The 27,239-nt window shown below is 41.3% G+C and overlaps 1 protein-coding gene across 8 annotated transcripts in view; it reads right to left on the minus strand.

Moving 5' to 3' along the window:
• Positions 1 to 27,239, minus strand: part of HACD2 (3-hydroxyacyl-CoA dehydratase 2) — a 93,500-nt gene that overhangs the window by 15,944 nt on the left and 50,317 nt on the right. For all 8 annotated transcript variants that reach the window (NM_001329786.2, NM_198402.5, XM_047447663.1 and 5 more), the window contains one exon: positions 20,889 to 20,977. In NM_001329786.2, coding sequence (NP_001316715.1) covers positions 20,889 to 20,936 — 48 coding nt within the window. In that variant the 5' untranslated portion in view covers positions 20,937 to 20,977. The remainder of the gene's footprint in view (positions 1 to 20,888; positions 20,978 to 27,239) is intronic.

Here is a 27,239-nt window from a genome sequence, read left to right on the forward strand (position 1 = left end):
GAAGCCAAAAGCAAATCATCATACATTATATGATTCCATTTATATGAAATATCCAGAAAAGACAAATCTAGAGACAGAAAGTAGAATAGTGGTTGCCAGGGGCTGGGAGTGGGAACTAATTATAAAAGGGCATAAGGTCTCCATGATGTGCTTATTTCACATTGCATCCCTGTATCAAAACATCTCATGCACCCCATAAATACAGATACCTACTATGTACCCACAAAAATTTTAAAAAATAAAAAAAAATTTAAAAAAGGGCATGAGGGATCATATTTGGGTGATGGAAATGTTCTAAAGTTAGATTATGGTGATGGTTGCACAGCTTGGTACATTTACTAAAAACCATTTAATTATACACTTAACATGGTTGAATTTTGTAAATTATACTTCTGTAAAGTTATTTAATAAAAAAGTATCTGGGAGGCTGAGGTGAGAGGATAGCTTAAGGCCAGGAGTTCGAGACTAGCCTGTGCAACATAGTGAGACCCCCCCTCTCTTAAAAAAAGAAAAAAAAAGGAGTTTGCTTTAAATACATATTATTGCCTTTTAAGATAAAAGGGGCATTTAGGGCAAAGAGGGAAAAGGGAGATGATGAAGATTTACCAAGGATTACTAAGGAGAAAAGGGAGACAAAAGCCAGGTTTAGGATAGGTTGCCAAAAATGTCATAAAGCCGTTTCAAAGTTGCATATTCAGAATGATGGGCACAAATAGGGGAGCGGGTACCATGAAGCCCTTCCGGTTAGGGAATCTTTCTTTGCCTGGCACAGTGAGCTGTGTATTGGATACTCCATGCTGCAGACGGAAGGTTTCCACCCCCTGCTCTAAAGCGAGGGAGGAGGCGGCTGGGTGTAGGCGGCTTGTGTAATTTAGCCAAGGGAGTTTACATAGAAATTCAAGCTGGAGAAACAAATGGGTGCAAGAGAAAAACCTTTACACACAAATAGCATCATATGTTTGACTTTAAAAGGCACAGGGAGTATCAGTACATGAAAAGCTGTCATTTTTATTACAGTCAAAGAAAAACAGATGGTGCCACATAAGAAAACCACTATTGTAGAAACCCTATTCTTCTTAGCATTTTGGAACCCGCTGCTTACTGCGCTGGTTATTTCAAAGAAATTCCCTGACCAAGCTTTACAGCAAGCATTCTTTCCTCTTCTTAAAACCCCTTTCATTTGTGAAGAGATTTGGTAAAATCTAAGAGGGTAGGACTAGGCTTTGCTTTTGGAAAAACTGTACGTTTGTCTTAGTCTGCTCAGGCTGCCATAACAGAACACCATAGACTGGGGGGCTTAAACAAGAGAAAAGTATTTTCTCACAGTTATGGAGGCTGGAAGTCTGAGATCAGGATGGCAGCATGATTGGTTTCTGGTGAGGGGTCTTTTCCTGACTTGCAGATGGCCACCTTCTAGATGTGCCCTCCTTCACATGGTATCTTTTTTCATAAGGGTGCTAATCCCATCGTGAGGGCTCCACCTCCGCATGACCTCATCTAAACTTATTTCCCAAAGGTCCCATTGCCAAATACCATCGCGCTGGGGGTTAGGGCTTCAAGGTATGAATTTTTTGTGGGAGGAGACATAATTCAGTCCATAGCAATGCTATAGACTAGGTGTTGGCAAACTTCTTCTGTACAAGGCTAGTTAGTAAATAATTTAGGGTTTGCACCACATGTGGCTGTTGTAATATATTCATCATTGTTTTTTAAACCCTTTAAAAAATGCAAAAACTATTAGCTGGGCATGGTGGCATGTGCCTATAGTCTCAGCTACTCAGAATCACCTGAGCCCGGAAAGTTAAGGCTGCAGTGAGCTGTGATCGCACGACTGCACTCCAGCCTGGGCAACAGAGCAAGACCCTGTTTCTAAAAAACAAAACAAACCCCACCAAACAAGAAAAAAAGTAAAAACTATTATAAATTGCAGGCTAGATTTGGCCTATAGGCCAACCTCTGTTATAGATTCATTGAACCCCTCCAACCTTCCCCTTCCTGTGACTTCTTTTTTTTTTTTTTGAGATGGAGTCTCGCTCTGTTGCCCAGGCTGGAGTGCAGTGGCGTGATCTCAGCTCACTGCAAGCTCCGCTTCCCGGGTTCACGCCATTCTCCTGCCTCAGCCTCCTGAGTAGCTGGGACTACAGGTGCCTGCCACCATGCCTGGCTAATTTTTTTGTATTTTTAGTAGAGATGGGGTTTCACCGTGTTAGCCAGGATGGTCTCGATCTCCTGACCTCGTGATCCGCCCGCCTCGGCCTCCTAAAGTACTGGGATTACAGGTGAGCAACCGCACCTGGCCCCTGTGACTTCTTTAGCATACAAATGTTATTCTGCAACATTTCTCTGACAGATTGTGTGGGGAGGCGGGGAGAAGGGAGTCAATGTCTATCACCAATGGACACTATGGGGGAAAAAACAACCTTGTAAGAACATGTATAGGTAGGTTTTTCATCTTACCATCATTTTAATATCTCAGTAATTTCTTTGTACGTGTGGATAATATAAAATAAAATTTATCATTTAACAGTTTTAAGTGCATAATTCGTTGGAATTAAGTACATTCACCATATTGTGCAACCATTACCACTATCCATTTCCAGAAGGATTTCATCATTCCAAACAGAAACTCTGTACCCATTAAACAATCACTCCACATCTTCCCCTCACCGCCCCCAGGTAACCACTATTCTATTTTCTATCTCTAAGAATTTGTTAATTCTAGGTACCTCATATAAGTGGAATAATACAGTATATGTCTTTATTTTTTTGAGGTGGAGTCTCACTCTGTTGCCCAGGCAGGAGTGCAGTGGTCCAATCTCGGCTCACTGAAACCTCCACCTCCCGGGTTCAAGTGATTCTCCTGCCTCAGCCTCCCGAGTAGCTGGGATTACAGCCACCCACCAACACGCCCAGCTAATTTTTATATTTTTAGTGGAGACAGGGTTTTGTCATGTTGGCCAGGCTGCTCTTGAACTCCTGACCTCACATGATCTGCCCGCCTTGGCCTCCCAAAGTGCTGGGATTACAGGCGTGAGCCACCACCGTGCCTGGCCTAGTATGTGTATTTCTATGTCTGGTTCATCTATGTGGTAATATGTATTAGAATTTCCTTCCTTTTTGTGTCTGAAAAATATGTCATTGTACGTATATACTACATTTTATCATTTGTTGATGGACATTTGGGCTGTTCCTATCTTTTTGGCTATTATGAATATGCTGCTATGAACATTGGTGTATAAGTAAGTTTAAGTACTTGCTTTCAGTTCTTTTGGGTATATTCTTAGTAGTGGAGTTATTGGACCATATGGTAATTTTATGTTTAACTTTTTGAGAAACTGCCAAACTGTTGTCCACAGTGGCTGTACCATTTTACATTACATCCCTACCAACAGTGCGCAACAAGAGTTCCAATTTCTCCACTGCTCATTTGCTGTGTTTTTTTTTTTTGTTTTTTTTTGTTTTTTTTTTTAAATAATAGCTGTCCTAATGAGTGTAAAGTGGTATCTCACAGTAGTTTTGATTTGCACGTCCCTAATGACTAGTGATGTTGAGCATCTTTTCACGTGCTTATTGGCTGTTTTATATCTTCTTTGGGAAAATATTCAAATCCTTTGCCCATTAAAATTTTTTTAGTATCTCTTTTTAATATTTATGGTGACAGCAGTAAAAATAATTATACCTAATTGTTACTGAGCTCTTACTATATGCCAAGCACTTTTTAACATATATTACCTCACTGAATCCCCATTTTACAGACAAGTAAAGTGAGGTTTACAGAATTTGAACCCAAGGTATGTCTCCTAAACCTGAACAGCTCTGACTTGTCTTCTTGGGCTTGGGGTCTCACATGCATGTGAACACACACACACATACACACACACATTATGGGGTAACAATTATCTTTCAAAATCAATAACTATTGGAAGGAACCCTATACAAGAAGAGCCTAGAGAACAGATAAGGTAAATGTGATGTTTACTTAGTGTCAAGAAAGCCATTAGTCCTCCAATAAATGTTGCCTACCTCTGAAAAGGGAATAGAGAATAATAGGATTTGGACTTCAGGGACTGAGTAGAAGAGGTTCACCAAGAAAGACTGAGTAAAGCATAAAAAACTACAGGTCACTAGCACCCAGAGGTATCTTTAATATGTCCATGAAATGACTTCTAGTTGTGCATCAACTGACCCAAGTTAAAACACAACATAAGAACTTGAAACAAACCCTAACGAATTACCTAAAGTTAATGTAATCTTCTTCCCTGAGTCTTGTTTTGCTAACAATCATTTCTTTTTTGTTTTGGCCCTCCTATCGGTTAGGGTATTTGACCCTCCAAACCTCATGTTGAAATCTGATCCCCAATGCTGGGGGTGGGACCTGGGGAGAGGGTGAGTAAGTCCTTACTGTTAGTTTCTGATCTGCTGGTGAAGAGCCCGTTGCCACCCCCTAGCTCCTCTTCGCCATGTGACCTCTGCACAGGCTGGATCCCTTCACCTTCCCCCATGAGTGGAAGCAGCATGAGGCCCTCACCAGATGCAGGTGCTGGTGCCATGCTTTTTATACAGCCTGCAGAACCATGAACCAAATAGACCTCTTTTCTTTTCAAATCATTCAGCCTCAGGTGTTCCTTAATAGCAGCACCAATGGACTAAGATGAGCCCTGTTTATTTCTGGATTTAACTTATTGTCAAGACCCCTAAAAATCTATCTCGAAAGCTTGTTTCTCTTTTCTATCTCTGCTAAGCAGAAATTGAAATACAAAATATGATTTCAATTCAAAATGAAAAGAAACGCATAAACACAAATATTAAAAAAAGAAAACAGGAAAAAAGGAAGAATGAAATACTTCACTAGGCAAGCTTCTGGTTTTCCAGAGACCAGCCCAATCATCTCAAATATGTCATTAGATAAGATTCACCTGAGACTCGCCTCTTTCCCTTCCCCACGTGGAGGACACAGTATGGTGGCTGAAAACTCAAGGTGGTGAGGACATGGAAAGGTGAGGGAAGGTGGTGGGCTAACACAGGTATGAACCAGAGGCCTGCAGTTGAGAATGGGGGTGGTGAAGGAGAGACAGAGGTGACAGGTGGAAGAGATGGCCAGTGTGGCTGGAAAACCAGTTACATGGAGCAAACAGGCAAACTGAGCAAAAAAATCAATATATTAAGGAAAATGGGCTTCTTGCTGTTGGAGGAGGTATTAACAAACATGGAAGGGAAAATGCGAGAAAGAACACTGAGGTATTAGACTGTGGTTGGAGGGATCAGTATGAACCCATGATTTATATACACACACAGCTATATAAATACTTCCAGATGTAAATGTGTGTGAGTGTATATGTGTGTGTATGTGTGTATATGTATATGTACCCAAGCTTTCTCTACTGAGAGGGTCTAGAAGCAATGACATCTCAGTAGCAGTGAGCACCTCATCTACCCAGATCCTGGATCCTAAGTTACCATCCTCTACTAAAAGGAATCAGGCAGGGCTCTTTGGCAAAATGGCTGATTCCAGGGCTGGGGCTGGGGAAGTACAAGATGAGTCTGGAAATCTTTTTGTGCCAGATCATAAGGAAATACTCAATGGATGATGGAAGGAAGTTAAAAGGACCAGGAGGAAGAACTCCCACTGGCCAAATCCTAGATAGTTTTAGCATCAAAATAAATAATAGACTATAACCCATTGAATTATACAGGAATTCATGAGTCCAAACAGATATAAATAAAATAAATAAATGGGAGAAAGGGAAAGCTATTTCTTATAGAATGCCAACTCCCATGTGTAAAAGAAATGACAGAAATAGACAGTTGCCATTTGATAACCATCACAGAGGTGGCTGACACAGGCAGGAGTCATTCCCACAAAATACTAATTAATAAAAAGGAGGTGAACTGGAGGTGGAGAAACCTGGCAGATGCTAACAGGAGCAGGTGACAGAGGTCAACGTCACCAGGAGTGGGAAGGGTAGTCATGGCGTGCCTCCTGAGAAGAGCAGGCATGGCTTGAATTGGTTATCAGGGAACGCTGAATGGACCTAGGCTGAGAACTTACAGCCTGTACTCTTTAAAATTGACACAAGGCCATGAGGGACAGGGCAAGGCTGAGGAGATCGTCCAGACTGAAGGAGTCTGGAGAGACCTGACAAAGAAACATCACACGGATGTGGCAGGACCATCACAGCAACCGCATGTCTCCTTCTCCCATGAATCCCAGTGCTCAGCACAAGACCTGGAACGCAGAAGATACCGATTACTTTCTCCATTCCAGAATGGAGAAAAAATACATTGTTTGGACGGTTCGTGGAATTTGAATGGAGCATACTGGATTAGACAGTAGTGTTGTATCAAGGCTGATTTCCCGATTTGGAGAGTTCTATGCAGGTGATATAGGAGTGTCTAGAACACATACTCAAGTACTTATGGGTGATAGGATGTTACACACAGGTTGCTCTCAAAGTTCAGAAAAAATAAATGATAATGCATATAAAAACAAAGAGAGGCTGAATATGGTGGCTCATGCTTGTAATCCCACCACTTTGGGAAGCTGAGGCGGGCGGATTGCTTGAGCCCAGCAGTTCAAGACCAGCCTGGGCAACATGGTGAAACCCTGCCACTACAAAAAATACAAAAATTAGCCGAGCGTGGTGGCAAGCGCCTGTGGTCCCAGCAACTCAGGAGGCTGAGGTGGGAGAATCGCTTGAGCCCAGGAGGCAGAGGTTGCAGTGAGCCAAGATCTCGCCATTGCACTCCAGCCTGGGGCACCAGAGTGAGACTTGTCTCAAAAAAACAAAAAACACAGAGAGAGTAGGAAACGAAACAAATGAAGTAAAATGCCAATAATTGGGGAATCTGAGTGAAGAGAATATGAGAGTTCTTTGTACTGCTCTGGCAACTTTTCTCTAAGTTTGAAATTACTTCAGAAAAAATTGTTTTCTAAAAATCACCTAAATACTAAGCAACCACTCCGGGGGTACAATGAGAAGGAAATATAACTATTATCTGGTTCTCTAAACATATTATTTTGGGTGTGAGGCCTCAGGATCTGCTGGAAGAGGTGGGTTTTATAACCATAAAGACATAACATTTATAAGAAAACATATCAACAAGCGTACATGAATGGAAGGTAACTTGAGAGGGAACAGCAGAATGAACACTGGCCCCAATCTACCTCCCCATCAGTATTGTCTTAGACCGTAAACAAGCCGAAGACAAGGTCACAAACTTGCTTTGAAGAAGGGCTAGCTTAGTTATAAGGCAAAATCAAATTCTTAATAAATGCTTTAGATTGGGATAATAATGATGATTAAGATAATGATAGTTCCCATTAGCAGGGCTAATTATTCCTTAAGAATGATAAAAGTAATTATGCATAAATTTTCACCAGCTAACTGTGAAACTATTTTAGTATGTATAAAGAACATATTCAGTTCTGTGTGAAAAGCCAATTATATCTCTGTTAGAAACCTCAGGACACAGAATTCAAAACAGTTATACAGAAATTTGTCATTAAATTTTTGGGGAAAGATTAGGTTACATTATACCCAGTAGGTAGCTAAGATTTATTGAGCACTTACTAAGCACCAGGCAGTGTTCTAAGTGCTTTGTATGTGTTAACTCGCAGACCACCTCATGAAGGGAACCACGGGGCCTGGGAGACTGGCACAGCTCCTGAGGAACTGGAACAGCCTACTCAGCCCTCAACTGGGCAACTGAGGGATGACCCAGCGGTCACAGCACTATCATCCCTCTGCCTTAGCAGTTATCCCACTATATGGTGTTTGCTGTCTGCTGGATTCTGCTTGACTCATACTAGGCTGGAAGCCCTGTGAGGGCAACAACTGCATCTGTCCTTTTCTCATGTGTCTTACTTAGTGCTTAGCACAATGCCTGGGGCATAGAAGATACTGAATAAATATCTGTTGAATGAACAGGAATGAAGAAATAATAGATGGCAACCCAACTGCAGTCTCAGCAAATGTGCTCTGACTCAGCTGGAACAGCCTTGGGTGGGAGGGCAGCTCCTAAGGGGCTGCAGTGCTGGTGCTGGTTGGTCCGTCAGCTGAGGGCTTGGGCTCGAGAACAGGGCAGTTCTAACGACAATCTGGGTCCTTTCTCTAACTTGATTAAGCTTTTTTGAACAAAAATGTTAAGTCATTTGGTTATTTATCTAAAAGGAATTTCATCCTTGATATTGAAATGTAATAGTAATAGATACACACATGGTGGTTTAAAAAAAAAAGATATTTGGATGAGTATGTTGGGGTTTTTTGTTTTTTTTTGAGACGGAGTCTTGCTCTGTCACCCAGGCTGCAGTGCAGTGGCACAGTGTCAGCTCACTGCAATCTCCGCCTCTCCAGTTCAAGTGATTATCTTGCCTCAGTCTCTGGAGTAGCTGGGGACTACAGGTATGCACCACCATGCCCGGCTAAATTTTTGTATTTTTTTGGTGGAGACGGGGTTTCACCATGTTGCCCAGGCTAGTCTCAAACTCCTGATCTTAAGTGATCCGCCCTCCTTGGCTTCCCAGAGTGCTGGGATTACAGGCATGAGCCACCGCGCCTGGCCTAGTATTAGTCTTTTCACACAACAATTTTATGTATAAAGTGTCCTTTATAATTTATTAAAAATCCATGATAAAGTGCCTGCTAAACAAAATACTATTCCTATTTTATGAAAAATGTGAGTTATAAAAATATTAATATTTCTTCCCCTTTAAAGGAGAGAATAATGTGCAACATATTTTTTTTTTTTTTTTTTGAGATGGAGTCTCGCTCTGTCACCCAGGCTGCAGTGCAGTGGCATGATCTTCTGCTCACTGCAACCTCCGCCTCCCGGGTTCACGCCATTCTCCTGCCTCAGCCTCCCGAGTAGCTGGGATTACAGGCGCCCGCTGCGACGCCCGGCTAATTTTTTGTATTTTTAGTAGAGATGGGGTTTCACCGTGTTAGCCAGGATGGTCTCGATCTTCTGACCTCGTGATCCGCCCACCTCGGCCTCCCAAAGTGCTGGGATTACAGGCGTGTGCCACCATACCCGGCCAGATTTTTAAAAAAATCCTACAGTGACAAAGGAAACTGGTTAAAAAGTTCTTACCATTACAACACCAATAACTGAGAACTATTTTTTTGATGTGAATAATGGACTAGTTAAATGTTCTGGCCTATCAAAACAACTCTTGGTCACAAAGTAAACTTTTCTGAACATGCAATGAAAAGATATATAAGCATGCAATCAACAAGCGATACATGATCGATTCTGCATTTATGACAGGCCAGACATGCAGAATGCTAAAATGTTCCCATTAGTCCAACTTTAATGGTTCCTATGTGTTCAGCCTGTTTTCTGGAAAACATGAAGAAAGGATGGTCGGTACCTCAACTAGCCTAGCTTCACCACCACTGGCCTCTACTCCAATTGAGTGTAACTCTGGAATCAAACAGATCTCCAGACTTCCTGGCTGCATGTCCTGAGGCAAGTTACTTATCCTCTCTGATCCTCAGCTTCCTCATTTGTAAACTGGAGAGGTCAGAAAAACATATTAAGTGCTTAGCAAAGCCCTTGCCATTTAAGCAGTTACCATTATTATTCCATGAAGGGAAAAATTCAATTTATTGAGATCCTACTATCTATGCTAGTCACTGCTGAGACTCCATACAACCTGATGGCTGTCTCTTAGGCTTAATTACAAAGAAATGCTTTGTGTTTTTCTTGTTTTGCTTTTTGTTGCCCAAGCATTGTTTAAAAGATGCCACCTCTCCCTCTACTTGAAGGTTAACATATGTCTACCAACTCTGAGATGTCTAAGGATCTCACCAGCTGCTAGTCTTTCCCAATATTCTTCCTTAGTCCTGTTTGATTTGCTCACCTCCAAAAAGCGTGTTACTAACTGAAAAGCTTTCATGCAACTATTACCTTCAACTCAATTCAAACACAGACACTGCATCAGAATGGAGTCATATTTAATCCCAACCTTCATCATATATATCTAATCCAGTCTAAATATTCTATGAAGTGATAGTCCTTTAACTCCAGCAATGATAGCCCAGAGAACAATATTCTCAGCAATTGGTGACTGTGGCCCCAAGAAAAGAGCTGGGGCCTACTCAACCCACAGTCCGCCCCCAAATCTCCAAATGCAGTATCCCAATGTGCCCACCCAACACTCCAGAGGGGAGAAGATTTACCACTGACAGAAAGGTAACTGAAATGTCAAAAGAACATGAAACTGGCAATATATTTTGTGAAATGTCATGGTTCTTTCTGTTCTATGACAGTGTAATAATTGCAAAAATTTCAAAAGGTGGGGAAAAAAAGCTATGAACACCATCTCTTGGACCAGAAATATCAAAATGGTGACCTACGGTCCCTGACCATAGATGTTCTGTTTGGGCTTGTACAGTGCTTTAAAAATATTTGGGCCGGGCGCGGTGGCTCACGCCTGTAATCCCAGCACTTTGGGAGGCCGAGGCGGGCGGATCACGAGGTCAGGAGATCGAGACCATCCCGGCTAAAACGGTGAAACCCCGTCTCTACTAAAAATACAAAAAATTAGCCGGGCGTAGTGGCGGGCGCCTGTGGTCCCAGCTACTTGGGAGGCTGAGGCAGGAGAATGGCGTGAACCCGGGAGGCGGAGCTTGCAGTGAGCCGAGATCCCGCCACTGCACTCCAGCCTGGGCGACAGAGCGAGACTCCGTCTCAAAAAAAAAAAAAAAAAAAAAAAAAAAATATTTGAATCAGTTTTTAAAAATTAGGGGATTTCTCATTTTAAAAATCTAGATTTCTGCCTTTTCTCAAAAAAATTAGATTTTGCACTACTGAATCTGTCTGGCAATCTCTAGCTGAGCTGCACACTGACTGCTTGTGTGAGATGGCATGCACCCTCCAGTCACCATGCTTTTCTTCCATGTTCTTTTAAAATCCTGTGGGACAGACCTCTGCCGCCAGTAGATAGCCTCTGCTACAGATTGTAAAGTGCTACACAAATGTCATGCAACATATTTGAAAACTCTAAAGTTTTAAAAACTTTAGTTATTTAAAAGTGTTATTTAAAAGTCTGATTAGTTTTTACACTTGAGGCTCTGAACATACTTTTCTTTAAGGCAATGACCTTGGCCAAAGATTCTTTAAACCTGACCTAACAAGACAGCACACCAATGCAGAAGGCAAAAGAGATTCACAATTTTCACATTCTGGGTTATTCTGGCAATAAGCCAGAGCAAAGGCCGGGCATGGTGGCTCATGCCTGTAATCCCAGCAACTTCGGGAGGCCAAGGCAGGCAGATCACAAGGTCAGGAGTTCAAGACCAGCCTGGCCAATATGGTGAAACCCCATCTCTACTAAAAAATACAAAAATTAGCCAGTGTTGTGGTGCGTGCCTGTAAGTCCCAGCTCCTAGGGAGGCTGAGGCAGGAGAATCGCTTGAACCAGGGAGGTGGAGGTTGCAGTGGGCCGAGATCGCGTCACTGCACTCCAGCCTGGATGACAGAGTGAGACTCCAACTAAAAAAAAAAAAAAAAAAAAAAAAAGCAGAGCAAGAGGAAGTGAGAGGGAGAAGGTGCCAAAACCTGTCCTGCTAAAAAACAAACCTTTATGGTCTGAAGAAAACAAAAGCTAAAACTCTTTAATGTGGCAAGCCTAATAATTAGTTTTTCTGAAGAAAACAAAAGTTAAAAATCTTTAGTGTAACAAGCCTAATAATTAGTGTTTCTTCCCCTCTAAAAAAAGCATCCCCTTAGCATGCATACACACAAATCCACACATGTACACCAAGGCACATCTTACAAATTCCAGAAGTACACCAGGGTTTTACTCCAGACTTGGAAAGAGTCCTCTCTCTGGAAAATGCAGACAGCTTAGTCACATGCTTTATTTTTTCTGTGATGCATCTCAGTTTGCAGTGAGAGGTTTTGACTACAGGGCTTCTTGATATGGGTAAGTTTAAAAAGGTTACTAAACTCTCTTCCCTGAAGAAATGGAAATACACTGTATGGATATTTCACAGGAGTGATGGGGGTAATTTTTTCAGGTTCCTCTATGATCTTTAAGATTCCCAAAGAGATCAGTTACCTGACTGAATTCACTGTGCGTGACAACTATCAAGGGGTTATAGGTACTGGTATTCTTGTCATATTTATGTATTTTTAATTAAACTCTCTGATATCCCCTATTGGTATTTCAAAATAGATTTATTTTGAAAAGCTACACTACATAAAGGACTGACATTTTGGCAAAGAAGCAGGTAATAAGAGAGAGTTCCTCCTCCCGCAAGTTTTCAAATGAATATTAATCAATGCTTTAAAAATGCCACCTGTTGTACTGTGGAGCACATCTGCTTAAAAGTAGTTTACAGGTAATAGTTTCTAACTTTTCTTGGCTTTGCTGACACAGTTTAACATGCTCACGATGCATACCAATCACCTCACTTTTACAGTGAGAAATGAGAATCTTCAAACTCAGTGGGATAATAACGCTGACTGTACACCTATGGCATATTTTAACTCATATAGGAGAGAAAAGGCATGTAAAATGGTTTCCAACAAAGGCAAACTTATCAGGTGAATCCATTGCAGAGGCCAAGCTGCAGCCCTCTGAGAGGTGAGGCCTGTATGGCCTCCTGACTCACCATCTAACCAATTGCTACCTCTGCAGTGCATGAGGAGAACACCATCAACATCATTTCCCACACCTGCAATTAGGATTTTTATGACAATTTAATCTAGAGTACTAAAAAAACCCCTTAATTTAAGGAATACAACATACCAAATATACCTTATAAATTTTCTTTTGTTCCTTTAAAAGAAAAATTATACAGCCATTCACATACACATAAGATAAAATATATGAAAACCGAATTGCCTAAAATCAAGAGAATGGTAAATAATGTCATACTGAATAGCCAGAGCTACACTGTCTAATAGTGCAACTTCTAGTCACATGTGGCTATTTAAAATACAATTACACTGAAATTCAATTCCTCAGTCACATTAACCATATTTCAAGTGTTCACATATGGCTAAGAGCTACTGTATTGAAGAATGCAGATACACAGAACATTTCCAGCAATGCAGAAAGTTCTATTGGACAGTGCTGGGGTAGAGGAAATACCCACAGCAAACATGTTGGTAACCAACATCTTTCCACCACTGTATGGTACTAAAAACTTACTTTTTTGTCTTAGAATAAACAGTCTAAATAAGCACCTTAATTCATTTCACTTTGAATCCATGGATTAAAACTGGTTTGAATGTCAGGATTCACTTACTGGTGACTCCCCACTGATAATACAACTTGACAACATAGTTTAAACATAGAGCCTTGTTTCCCCGTGTTATTCATTAATTTAAGCTGATCACATATAACTAAAGTTAAAACCACACAGGCTCTTAGCCTGGAAATCTCGTGTGCTTATTTGGAGAACTACTATTTTAAGCCCAAGGTAATGATTTTTTCTTCCTTCACTCTCATTCCTTTTCTATGACAGTTTCCTAAAGTGAAAAGTCAAGCATCTTTTGTTAATCCCAGAACTGCAAGTAACCAGATTTAGCTCTAAACAGGCTTCCCACTATTGGAAAGTAGCATCAATACATATGTTAAGATACCACCCGACAGTATAGACACATCTTATGCTTGAAGAGAATGTATTCCAACAAGCTTGTCAAAAATTTCACCATCAAAAATAGGAGTAATGTAGGAGACCCCATGGATACATCCAGAAGATAAATTAAATGAGAGGGGGTTAGTATCATATTTTAGAAGGCTAACCAAAATGCTAAATGCACTGAAAAACCTATAATCTGGAAGTCCTGGGGCAGAGGGAGAGGAAGAAGTTGATCAGTGCTCAAGCCTGAAGGGACTGGTGTCTGCCAGGACAGTCTGGAATGGGGTAGGCTAGGGCAGGGACAGCTCTGAGTCCTAGGGGAACCTCAGGACCGTAGGATATTTTTCTCTGGGGCTCCTAGGTCAGGACCTGGCCCTTCCTCTCCTGAATGAGATTTCCCCAAATTAAGATAACTGTGCAGACTTCTGGTATAAATGTCCCTTCTTGCGTTAGAATTGACAACTAGGAATGGTGTATATCAGATTTTAGCCCTTGAGGTGAGAGAGCCAAAAAAAAAAAAAAGGCCCTGAGAAGCTTCCCATGTCTAGGTGTTTTCAGGAGCAGAGTCACCACAGGGAGGAGGGTGCAGGGTGCAGTGGAGGTGAGCCCAGAGCAGAAAAAGATTAACATTAAAGACAAGTGAAACCAATTTCCTGATTTTGCTGAGCTTGGAACCTATCCAACTATTACTTGGCAAAGAGGTCCTGTATAAAGTACAGTATAAAGTGGTGGTAACATTGGATTCTGTGGTTTAAGAAGACGCTTGCTTGCTTGCTTTCTCTTTCTTTTACATGTAACTAACTAAATCATCATCAGGGGATATTACATTTTAAACAACAACTGAGTTCTGGTGGAATTTTTCAAGGGCTATAAAGGAACTAAGACAACAGGAGAAAGATGCAACATGGGATGACAGAAGTGAGCCCACTCTTGGCCGGTGTGGTGGCTCATGCCTGTAATTCCAGCACTCTGGGAGGCCGAGGCAGGAGGATTGTGTGAGGCCAGGAATTGGAAACGAGCCTGGGCAATGGTTCGAGACCGTGCCTCTACAAAAATAAATAAATAAATAATAAAAAATTAGCTGAGTGTGGTGGTGTGCACCTGTAGTCCCAGCTACTCAGGAGGCCAAGGCTGGAGAATAGCTTGATCCCAGGAGTTTGAGACTGCAGTGAGATGACTGTGTCACTGCACTCCAGCCTGGGTGATGACAGGATGACAGAGCAGGACCCTGTCTCCAAACAAAAAAAAAAAAAAAAAGAGAGAGAGAGAGAAGTGAATCTACACTGAACCTAAAAGATCTAAATATTTTTTCAATATTTTGAAATAAAATCTTCATACACAGTACAAGGAAAATGTTGGAAAGGGACAGGCAGAAAAACACTGAGAGAAAAATAGACATTCTGATTTTGCCAAAACCATCTATGCTAAATATAGGTAACGGCAAAAGGATCCAGCTAGCTATGAGATAACTAACACAATCTTTAAGTGAAAATGCCACTAAGTGCTGCTGCATTTGTCTAGAAGCTGCCTCAAGTTTGACAGTGTCTGATTAACAATCAAATAAGGAGACTTTTTTTTTTTTTTACCTTTAAGAGAGGTGTTATTTTAAAATGAAGGTGATGTAAATCCACCTACAAGAATATTTAAAATAGAAAGTAACCAAATGGAGTAGGGTGGAGGATTTTAGACATTCAGCTTTTAGTGGGGACAAAGGATACTGAATATAACTCAATGGCCTCTGCTAACTGAGCTGCAGTGTCACTGTGGAAAGGGCACTGGGGCTAGATGACAGGACGGCACAGCTTTGGTCCAAGCACAGGGCCCAAGGAAGAAATGATGTGCCCCTGACACAGCATCTCATCTCCTCATCTGAATGATGGGGGTAAGAAGCTGCCTTTCTGCCTCACCATGATACCACGTTCACGGATGGCGCATGCTGGGAAGTCCACAACACAGCTATCAGGGATAACACAGAAGGCGTGCGGCCACAGGAGACACGCCAACCAGGGAAGTGGCCTCAGAGGCAGGAAGAACACGAGCACACTGTGACCCAGCTGGAGGACCCAGCAGGGAGGAAAAACCCCAACAACGAAAACAGGTCCGGAAGCAGGGGCATTAGGACATTATGTATCTGGTGTTTTGGCTTCTACAAGAGTTGAACGGAAGAGGGAAAGAGGAAGAAAGGAAAACCGTGTTCTCTCTCTGAAGGAAGTGGCACTCCTCTGCACAAAAGCCGCTGGCTGCTTTGTAAGGGTTTCAGAAGCTGCTCAGTGAAAACCTGCATGCTGGAGACCTTGAGTTCTCTCTCGATAACTGCCACCTTGTTCTCATATATCCTTCTCACTTCATCTTCACAAAAACGGCAGTATAGCAGACAGGGCAGATATTAGTATTATTATTTTACAGATGAGAAAAACAAGACTTGGCAAGTTGAAGTGCTTCATCCTGTCACAAGGTAAATGTTAAAGCCCAAACTCATCAACCCTTCACCTAAATTTTGGGTGCTAAGCCTCCACATTCTAGAATACTGAGTTCTAATTACCTAGAAAAGAATAAAACTGTCCAGGTGAGGTGACACTTTTGAGGAATCCCAGGAAGAGGTGTCGGCACTGTGTTACCTCAGGTGGGAATGGCCTCTGAACTGATCTCCCTGACAGCTCTGTGAAGAGATCTCCCTAATGGCTCTGGCCCACAGCATGAAGCACATGCCTGCTACAGACCCTTCCCAGCAACTCCACCCCAGTGTGAGGCAGCTGGATTCCTTGGGCCTCTCTCTTAAAAACAAACCAAAGTCAGTCTTGCTTCTTCAGTGCAATGATTTCAGATCTTCCTCTGCTTTAAGGCAGGCTCCTTAAGCTTCCTCTTACCTAGTCATCAGCAAAGACGCTGGATTTTGGACAGAGCACCAGAAATTCCACAGTATCTTTACTTAGCAGTTTAAGGGAACTCTAAGGTTTTCATTCTTCAAGAATGAAACAATGGCTCTTGGAGTTAGAAAAGAGATGCTGAGATTGGGTTAGGCTTCAAGTAAACTAAGTAGAAAAGTAAATTAAATCAAGGGAAGGTCACAAAAATTACAGCACAACACATAGGTATCTTAGATCATTTCTCAAACCTTGGAATTCTTAAAATTATTTGAGAAGCCTAATAAAAATTCAGATTCCCTGGTCCCACTCCCAGACATTCTGTATCAAGTGTAAGGTGGGTCCTGGAATATGCGTTTTTAATAAGCCCTCTGGGTGATTCTGGTCCAAATAGTGCATACATCCTAGTTTGAGAAAGAGTCTTAGAACTTTTAAGGAGAGAGGCTAATTAGAAGGATTCATCTCAGAGCACTTGAGCAGTAAAAAAACAGAGAAGCAATGTGTTGCAGATAAGCACCTAGGGCCCACAATTGATGTGTACATCTGATGTACAGATGATTTAGCAGGAGAATCATATCCTAATGTGAATATGGCATGGTGGAACTGTTGAGGAGGAAAAGCACCTATGGATCTCACACAGGCATTTCCACTCCATAGGGGAGTGAGAGAAGTCAGCACAACAAAAGTTAAAAACATTATGTTTACGTCAGGTTTTCTTGTTTTTTGTTTTGTAGAGATGAGGTCTCACTATGTTGCCCCAGCTGGTGTTGAACTCCTGCCTCAGCCTCCCAAAGTGCTGATATCACAGGTGTGAGCCACTGTGCCCGGCCACCATCATGTTTTTAAAGGGTGAGAAGGTGGCAGCTCTGATGCAGCAGAAAGACCCTGGATTTAGAATCCAATCCTGACTCTGCCATTTATTGGGTGTGCAATAGTCACTTTGCTGCTGTAGCTTCCAAACTCTAAATGGAGACTACAAGCTACCTATCTCAAGGCATGGTTGTTAAGAGAGAATGATCATAACGTACTTTAATAAAGCCCTCTGTAAACTATAACATATCAAACAAAAACCAATGCTATTGTAAAAAATATAAAGGAGGTTACTTTCTTAAACACTAATAACAAGATTTTCGCAAGCATCCTGCTGAAAAGTTGGTGAGAATGTAAGTTAAGTGTCACAAAGCCCAGCAGCAAGCCAGAAGGGGGCGGGACACAGCTGGCTTGTTTCGCCAGAGCTTTTGTTTGTTCATTTATATGGTCTCTTGGAAAGGAAAAAGGTGGATGGGGTATTTGCTATGTTAGGTCAAGGAAAAGCATGTGAGCATACGGATCACAATTCTTTTTTTCTTTTCTTGCCTCTGTGTATTGATTCAAATTTTTTCATTAATATCCTGCTGATCAAGGTGTCACACTAGCTGATGGGTAGATCCTTACACATAAGAGAAAACCATCTGATCACTTTTTAGTTTCACAATGTACGTGATGACATTTATGTGACTAGCATTCCAAAGGGTAGAGAATTAAAATGACAAGCAATGATGCATGTCCCATAGGGCTTCTTAAAAGGAAATATACCTCACGTGAAAAAAGTAGAGTCTAGTCTGAAAAGGTTATATAGGCTACACCCTAGCACATCATGTACAGGTACAGAAAAACAAGGGAGATGAGCAAAGGAAACACGCAGGGCAGAGGGGGTGGAGCAGGAGTCCAAATTCACATGTAATGTGATTAAAATGAAGAATTCTTGTCCACTTTAGAGGGGAATATGATATAAAAAGAAACTGAGAAATGATAGTAGTGTGAAAAGAATTTGAACATTACTACAAGAAAGTGAGATATATGTGATTAAGCAGTTATTTCTAAGGTCAATTTCCTTATGCATTAATTATACAGTTCCCACCATTAAAGTAAGCAGAGTTGAATATTAAGGAAAATAAAGACATTTTTAAGATGCTTCAGGAAATCGAAGAACAGAAGTCATATGTGATGTTATACAGAACAAATTGAACTATAGCTAATATGAAACTCCAAGGCAGGAAAAATAGCATTTGGCCAAGAGAAGGGTCCAGGGAACAGTTGACAGAGAGCAAGCACTGGCCTCTGAGGGGCCACAGCAACAGCCTTTTCAAGGTGACATATAGCAAGCACTGGCCTCTGAGGGGCCACAGCAACAGCCTTTTCAAGGTGACAGATAGTAAGCACTGGCCTCTGAGGGGCCACAGCAACAGGCTTTTCAAGGTGACATATAGCAAGTACTGGCCTCTGAGGGGCCACAGCAACAGGCTTTTCAAGTTAGCTGTCGAAGACGTAGGGCAGGGATGGAGGGCACCTACTGCTCTAAACAAAACGATGAATGAGGAGTTCTGTGCAGAGAAAAAGAGAATGAGGAGAAAAGAACCATGATCCTAGGACAGCAGAAACGCTGAAGTCCAATTACAAGTGAAAAGAGTAAGTCAATTCATCAACAGTGCATATGTAAAAACAAGAGGATCCAAGAGGCGATGGGAAGACAATAAAATATACTGAAGAATGTACTACATACTTCAGAAAATGATATGCCTTTTCTTTTTCTTTTCCTTTTTTTTTTTGGCAGGTAAAGAAAATGATATGTTAATGTTAGCAGAAATTGAGTCACTCTGGTTGTAGAGAAACAATTTTGAATATGGAAATGTAATGAGTATATAACAAATTACTGTAAAGCTCAAATGTGATAATGTATGTGAAACCGTCTGTTATATGTTAAGTCCTTTGCATCTGGCAGGCAGCATGGTTATGGAGGATGACACCAAGTCCATGTACCTATAATCCACAGAGACATTTAATAGCTTTGCAAGCCAACCAGTTTCAATGATCTACACAGGAAATCCTGGCAAATGTTGCTAACAGCAACTTGACTAATAGAATTGCCTGATTTGAGTTGTAAAGCATTTTTGACGTACCTGTCTACCTGCTTTGGCAGATGTGCTCATAGCTGAGGAGTGGTCACTAAGTGGAAGGGAGGAAGCAGAGCCCATGAAGAATCTATCAACTGGTGGATTAGCACCTGGACAATTAATATTTGACTATATTGGCAAAGTGATTGGATATTTCATAGTGAACAATACTTTGACTTCATGTACCTAGCACTTAATTACTGAAAGTACATTAATTATCTATTTAAGAATGTAAATGAGTTACTACTAGGAAGAAGTTTTAGGTCATTGGAGACTATTGGAAGATAAAATTATGAGTTGTTGGTTAAAATGAAAAGGAAATGGTATCTACACAAAAGTATGAGAGGAAGAAATATCGCAGTCCTTGCTTATCTGAAGTTTCACTTTCCGTAGCTTCTGTTACACCTGGTCAACCACAGTCCAAAAATATTAAATGGAAAATTCCTGAAAGAAACAATTCCTAATTCTTAAGTTGTACACTGTTCTCAGCAGCATGATGAAATCTCATGCTGTCCCACTCTATCCCACCTAGGACACGAATCTTCCCTTTGTCCAGTGTATCCATACTGTATATGCTACTGGCCCATTAATCACTTAGTAGCTAACTTGGTTATCAGTGCTTGTGTTCAAGTAACCCTTATTTTATTTAAAAACAGCCCCAAAATGCAAGAGTAGTGATGCTGGCAATTCAGATATGCCAAAGAGGAGCCATAAAGAACTTCCTTGAAGCGAGACAGTAAAAGTTCTCAGCTTAATAACGAAACAAAACAAACTGTATGCTAAAGTTGCTAAGTCCTACAGTAGGAACAAATCTTATATTTGTGAAATTGTGAAGGAAAAAGAAATTTGTGCTTGTTTTGCTGGTGAACCTCAAACTGCAAAAGTTGCGGCCACAGGGCATGATAAATGCTTAGTAAATATGTAAAAGGCATTACATTTGCGGGTAGAAGGCATAAACAGAAACGTGTTTCGGTCAGCAGCAATCGGGTTGTGTGCTAGCCGCTGTTTCTGGTATCCAGTGGGGGTTTTGGAATGTATTCCCCTTGGATAAGAGGGAACTACTGTATAGGTTTAAAATGATGACTTGGGTCAGGTGTGGTGGCTCATGCCTGAAATCCTAGAATTTGGGGAGAGTGAGGCAGGCAGATTGCTTGAGCTCAGGAGTTCGAGAGCGGCCTGGGCAACATGATACGAACAAGATATCAGAAAAATATAACTGAGTTGCAGACCACATCCACACCATCTGAACCTCCATGAGAACTCAGATTACAGGACTTTACCATTTAATCAGTCTTCTTTTTAACAACACTGCATATCTGGGATATGTTTCCCACTATTAACCCAGTTCCTACAGTGAATGTGAGCTTTATCTCAGCTATATTGACATGACCTGGAACTCTGACCTGGAACTCTTTAGCCATAACAAACATGTGAATCAGAAAAGTTGACTAGTGTTTGTTAGTGTTGACATTATTTTGGTCTATATAAACACTTACCTCTTTGACGCTATGTGTTACTGCCCATATTAGAAAAACTCTTGACATCACCTGGAAAGAAGTCAGGACAACAGAAGATGGAACAATTCCTGAAAGAAATTTTGGGATGGATAAATAAATGTACTGTACTAAGTTTCGATATATAATATATTTTCTAAAACATTCCAACTTAAATGTTTAGAGTCAAAACGGTCTTGAGCAACTGAAAGGTGTCTATATTGTTACACAGACTAAGTTTTCAATGTAGTCCACATTAAAACAAAGTTTTCTCCCTAAAAACAATAATATTTTTAATGGTATTATAAAACCATGGGATCCAGGTACCTTTCTTAAACCTCTCAAAACCACTGACCAAGTACAGTATTTTTTACACTTACTGTATAGATGGAGAAAGCAAAACCACTACCTAATCTTTAAAATAAGACTCATTTTACAATACGGGTTTCAAAACAAATAGGAAACAAAGGATGAGAAATCAATCCTATTTGTGTCTAATGAGTGCTGGAAGCTCATGGACATCAGACTTGATACACTATCTAATGGTTAAGTTAGGTATCTTTTATTATCTACTTGAATATTTTGCCAACAAGCATAACAACATAAAAGACTATCTTTAAAACCTTTTTTTTTTTTTATCACCTTGTTCATTACAAGCCCTGGCACAATTATCCTCCCAATGTCCTCAAGTTATAACACTGGAATCATCTTTGATTATTTTCTTTATTTATTTTTTGAGACCGAGTCTCACTCTGTCACCCAGGCTGGAGTGTAGTGGTGCAATCTCAGCTCACTGCAACCTCCACCTCCCAGGTTCAAGTGATTCTTGTGCCTCAGCCTCCCAAGTAGCTGGGACTACAGGCATGTGCCACCATCGCTGGCTAAGTTTTTGTACTTTTGGTAGAGATAGGGCTTCACCATATTGGCCAGGCTGGTCTTGAACTCCTGACCTCAGCTGATCCGCCTGCCTCGGCTTCCCAAAGTGCTGGGATTACAGGTGTGAGCCACCACACCTGGCAGTTAGTTATATCTTAACAAAGCTGTTACTAAAAAAATAAATGGCCAGAAACAGTGGCTCACGCCTGTAATCCCAACACTCTGGGAGGCTGAAGCAGGAGAATTGCTTGAGTCCAGGAGTTCTAGACCATCCTGCACAACATAGCGAGACCTTGTCTCTACTAAAAATAAAAAACATATTAGCTCGCCATGGTAGCGTACGCCTCTAGTACCAGTTCTAGGGAGGCTGAGGCAAGAGGATTGCTTGAGTTTGGGAGGTTGAGGCTGCAGTGAGCTGTGATCATGCCACTGCACTCCAGCCTGGGTGACAGAGTGAGGTCCTGTCTCAGAATAAATGAGTAAAAGTAAATAAATACATAAATAAATGTATAAATGAATTATAAAACCTGGTTATATAATTGTGTAATACAGCTAACAGAGCTAATTAGTAAGTCAAACATTTAGTGAATATATTTAGCCAGATCACACTTAGATGGGACAATATGCAGTTGTGGATTTCCTCTAGAAACCAATTTAAAAAAAAAAATATATTGAAGATGGAAAGCTCATATACTGCAAAACAAGGCTTATGTTTTAAGCCATTCTTGTAAAATAATGTTTAATATTTAGGAAAATGGCAGAATTGTACTCTTCCATATTTCTATTATAATAGACCTATTTTGAAAATCATATTTTGCTTATTAACATGTTAAGTTTCATTTTGCTGGGAGAGGGGGATTAATGAGGTTGAAGCAATAACTACCTAGGCACCTGTAAGGAAAGCACCCATATAGAGGAAGCCTTTGATTTCTTTGATTTCAAACAAACAAACAAACAAAAAGTAAAAAGAAAAGAACTGAGAATTAAAGGATTTCTTTTTTTAAAAAAAAGAGACCAGATTTCACTCTGTCACCCAGGCTGGAGTACATGACGCCATCATATCTCTCACTGCAGCCTCAAACTCCTGGGCTCAGGCCATCCTCTCGCCTCAGCGTCCCAAGTAGCTGGGACCACACGGTGTGCCAGGTAATTTTTTTTTTTTTTTTTTTGAGACGGAGTCTTGCTCTGTCGCCAGGCTAGAGTGCTGTGGGGCGATCTCAGCTCACTGCAACCTCCAACTCCCTGGTTCAAGGGGTTCTCCTGCCTCCGCCTCCCGAGTAGCTGGAGTTACAGGCATAAGCCACCATGCCCGGCTAATTTTTATATTTTTAGTAGAGATGGGGTTTCATTATGTTGGCCAGGATGGTCTCGATCTCCTGACCTTGTGATCCGCCTGCCTTGGCCTCCCAAAGTGCTGGGATTACAGGCGTGAGCCACTGCGCCCGGCCTGCCCAGGTAATTTTTTAAAGTTTTTGTAGAGACAACGTCTTGCTATGTTGCCCAGGCTGGTTTCGAACTCCTAAGCTCACACAATTCTCCTGCCTTGGCCTCCCAAAATGCTGAGATTACAGGCGTGAGCCCCCATGCCCAGCTAAAGTAACTTTTTGTTGTTGTTGTTGTTGTTTTTAGATGGAGTTTCACTCCTGTCGCCCAGGCTGGAGTGCAATGGCGCAATTTCGGCTCACTGCAACCCCTGCCTCCTGGGTTCAAGTGATTCTCCTACCTTAGCCTCCCGAGTGGCTGGGATTATAGGCACGCGCTACCATGCCCAGTTCATTTTTGTGGTTTTAGTAGAGACGGGGTTTCACCATGTTGGTCAGGATGGTCTCGATCTCTTAACCTCGTGATCTGCCCGCCTCAGCCTCCCAAAGTGCTGGGATTACAGGCGCTAAGAGTAACTTTAAACAAATGGAACTAGAAGGTCTAGGGGCAAAAACTGCAATTCAGCTGAACACAGGTTTATTAATTATTCCCTCTCCACTATAAATCACCCTTCTCTAGGGAATATAAATTTGTATTTGTCTCCCTTTCAAAAATGCCATACATAAATTAACAGTGTTTTTCTTTTCTTTTCTTTTTTTGAGACAGTCTTGTTCTATCGCCCAGGCTGGAATGCAGTGGCACAATCTTGGCTCACTGCAACCTCCGCCTCCCAGGTTCAAGTGATTCTTGTGCCTCAGCCTCCTGAGTATCTGGGATTACAGGTATGCACCACCATGCCTGGCTAATTTTTGTATTTTTGTTAGAGGCGGAGTTTCAGGTCATCTGAAACTGACCTCAGGTCATCCACCCGCTGCCTCGGTCTCCCAAAGTGCTGAGATTACAGGTGTGAGTGAGCCACCACACCTGGTCAACAGTGTTTTTCTTAAAAATGCTTTAGTATCCACACACACACACAACGATTTATTTAGTGTATTTCTCACCAGTCTTTTCCTCTAAGCATATTTTAAACCAGTTTAACTTCTACTGTTTATATTGTTTTTGCTTTTCTCATTTAACATTTTAAGAATTTTCCTTCTCTTCTTCAAAAGATTTTAGCTTAAATCATGATATTCCTTTGAGTTAATATGTTTGTTTATTCTCCTTCTGTGGGACATTTAAATTGCCTCGAATTTCTTGATACTATAAATGAAGTAATGAAGCATTACAAATAACACTCAAAATTCGAGGCTTAGACCTTTTTTTAAAAAAAGGATTATTTCCTTGGGACATTTTCCCAGAAGTAGAAGTACTAGGTCAAATGGCATGAATGTTTTTAAGGCTCTTGAAATGTATTGCCAAACTGCTTTCTAAGAAGTTTATTACCAATTTATACTCCCACCAGCAATATACAAAAGTGCCTGTCTTAGCACACCTTTGGCAGTAAATTTAAATCTTAATAAGTAGTGAACAAAAAGCTGATCAATACTTTCTAATTGAAGTAGATGTCAAGATGTTTCTGGCCTTGCCTGCAGGTGCTTCTACCGTTCTCTATCCAGTGAACTCGCCTACTTAGACACCTTAATTTTCCCCAAATCATGTCATTCAGACCAACTGTCACTTAGTTTCTCTGTAGCATAGACAACTACTTCAACCAGTCACCCAGCAAACAGCAGTTCAGGCCCTCACCTGACAGCACAATCTCGAAATGCCTGCTCTACTGGACCAGTCAAAAGGCCAAGAGCTCTATCCCTGAATTTAAGCTAAAGAACAGATGGCCACATAGATGGGCATTATCTCAGCTCTGAACAGAGCTGGCATCACCAAGTTGGGCTTATCATTATTATCAGGTGAATTTCATAAGAAACTAAGGCCAGGCACAGTGGCTTACGCCTGTAATCCCAGCACTTTGGGAGGCTGAGGTGGGCAGATCACCTGAGGTCCGGAGTTTGAGACCAACCTGGCCCCTGGCCAACATGGTGAAACCCCGTCTCTACTAAATACAAAAATTAGCCGGGCGTGGTGGCAGTCGCCTGTAATCCCAGCTACTCGGGAGGCTGAGGCAGGAGATCTCTTGAACCCGGGAGCAGAGTTTGCAGTGAGCCGAAAACGTGCCACTGTACTCCAGCCAGGGTGACAGAGTGAGACTCCGTCTCAAAAAAAAAAAAAAAAAAAAAAAAAAGACTGTCAAACAGTATTAATATTACCTTATTTGCCGTAGGAATGGTGTACAGTATAATGTCCACCCTATCACTCAAAGCCTCTCATACAGGTAGGAAATTTGTTTTAGAGCTCAATGTTAAGAAAGGTTTGCTCCTTTCCAATAATAAGAATTATATAACTCTGTCACCCTCTTTAACTTGGTAGCCAGAAACCTTCACGCTAGATCTGAAGCATACTATAGTGTGATATTTTGTGTATGAGCTACCACAAATCGTTGTAGAATGTGGAATATAGATAGACAAGACAGACTAGATTCTCTCTTTGATTGGACAGGGTCTCACTCTGTTGCTCAGACTAGAGTACAGTGGCACAATCATGGCTCACTGCAGCCTCAACCTCCTGGGTTCAAGCCATTCTTCTGCCTCAGATTCCCAAGTAGCTGGGACAACAGGCATGTGCCACCACGCCCAGCTAATTTTTGTATTTTTAGCAGAGACAGGGTTTCGCCATGATGCCCAGGCTGGTCTCGAACTCCTAAGCTCAAGTGATCTGTCCGCCTCAGCATCCCAAAGTGCTGGGATTACAGGCATGTGCCTGGCAGATAGATCCTCTTTCTTTCTGGCACTTCTTGCAGTCAATCCCACTGTTTTTGCATTTACATGCCATTACTTCTTATTTGAACACAATGGCATAGCATGTTAAAACCAAAACTACAGATATTTTTATTGTTGGCTACTTAAATTGGTTATTTACAGATGACAGAGACATTCTGGAATCTTACTAGTAAACTCTCACTAGCCTAAAATTCATTCAAAAAAGATGTACCAGACATCTACTATTTGTTAATATTTGTGGAGCGCCTACTCTGTGCCAGATACCACTCTCCACACTGGGGATGCAAAGGGAAGACAGTGTCCCTGGTGAGCTCACACTCCCAGGCTATGACTGATATGTTTTAGCGTAGTTCTCAAAAATAAGACTTTTTCCTGAAGGTGATGAGGGGTGACCAAACATTTGTAAACAGGAGGACAGCATGATTACAACTTGGTTTCAGAAAGATATCTCTGTCAGCAGTGCAAATCTTTGGCAAGGCAAGGTTATAACTTGAGAAATAGTTATGGGAATTTATGTTGAAAGGGCAATGAACTTTTGAAGCAAAAACACTGGCAGATAAAAGAAACATAGTGGAGTGTGTGTGTGTGTGTGTGTGTGAAGCAAAAGCTGTATAAAGGGGATCTGGCAATTGGTTGCTTGCTTCCCCAGAATGAGGGTGCTCTGAGGACTCCCCAAACCACTGAGCCCTGCAAAGCTGAGCAGCACTAGAAATCCTCCCTGCCTGGTGCAACCTTCAGATGGGGCAGGTTAGTGAAGTTGGGAGACTGGCTATACCTGACAAAGACCAGGTTGACAGTTGAGTACAGTCATGCACCACACAATGGCATTTCGGATAACGACGTACTGCATATATGATGATGGTCCCATAAGACTATAATGGAGCTGAAAAATTCCTGTTACCTAGTAATGTCCATTGTTAACATTATAATGCAACTCATTACTCATATGTTTCTGATGGTGCTGGTATAAACAAATCTAGTGTGCTGCTAGTCATATAAAAATAGTCATATAAAAATATAGCATGTCATATAAAAGTCATATAAAATATAGCACAGTACATTATATACAGTACATAATACTTGATAATAAACGACTATGTAACTGGTTTATGTATTTACTATACTATAATTTTTATTGTTAGAGTATAGTCCTACTTACTTAAAAAAAAGTTAAGTGTAAAACAGATTTAGGCAAGTCCTTCAGGAGGTATTCCAGAAGAAGGCATTGTTATAGGAGATGGCAGCTCCATGTGTGTTAGTGCCTCCGAAGACCTTAAAGTGG

The sequence above is a fragment of the Homo sapiens genome, chromosome 3, assembly GCF_000001405.40.
Source record: "Homo sapiens chromosome 3, GRCh38.p14 Primary Assembly".
Lineage (NCBI taxonomy): Eukaryota > Metazoa > Chordata > Mammalia > Primates > Hominidae > Homo > Homo sapiens.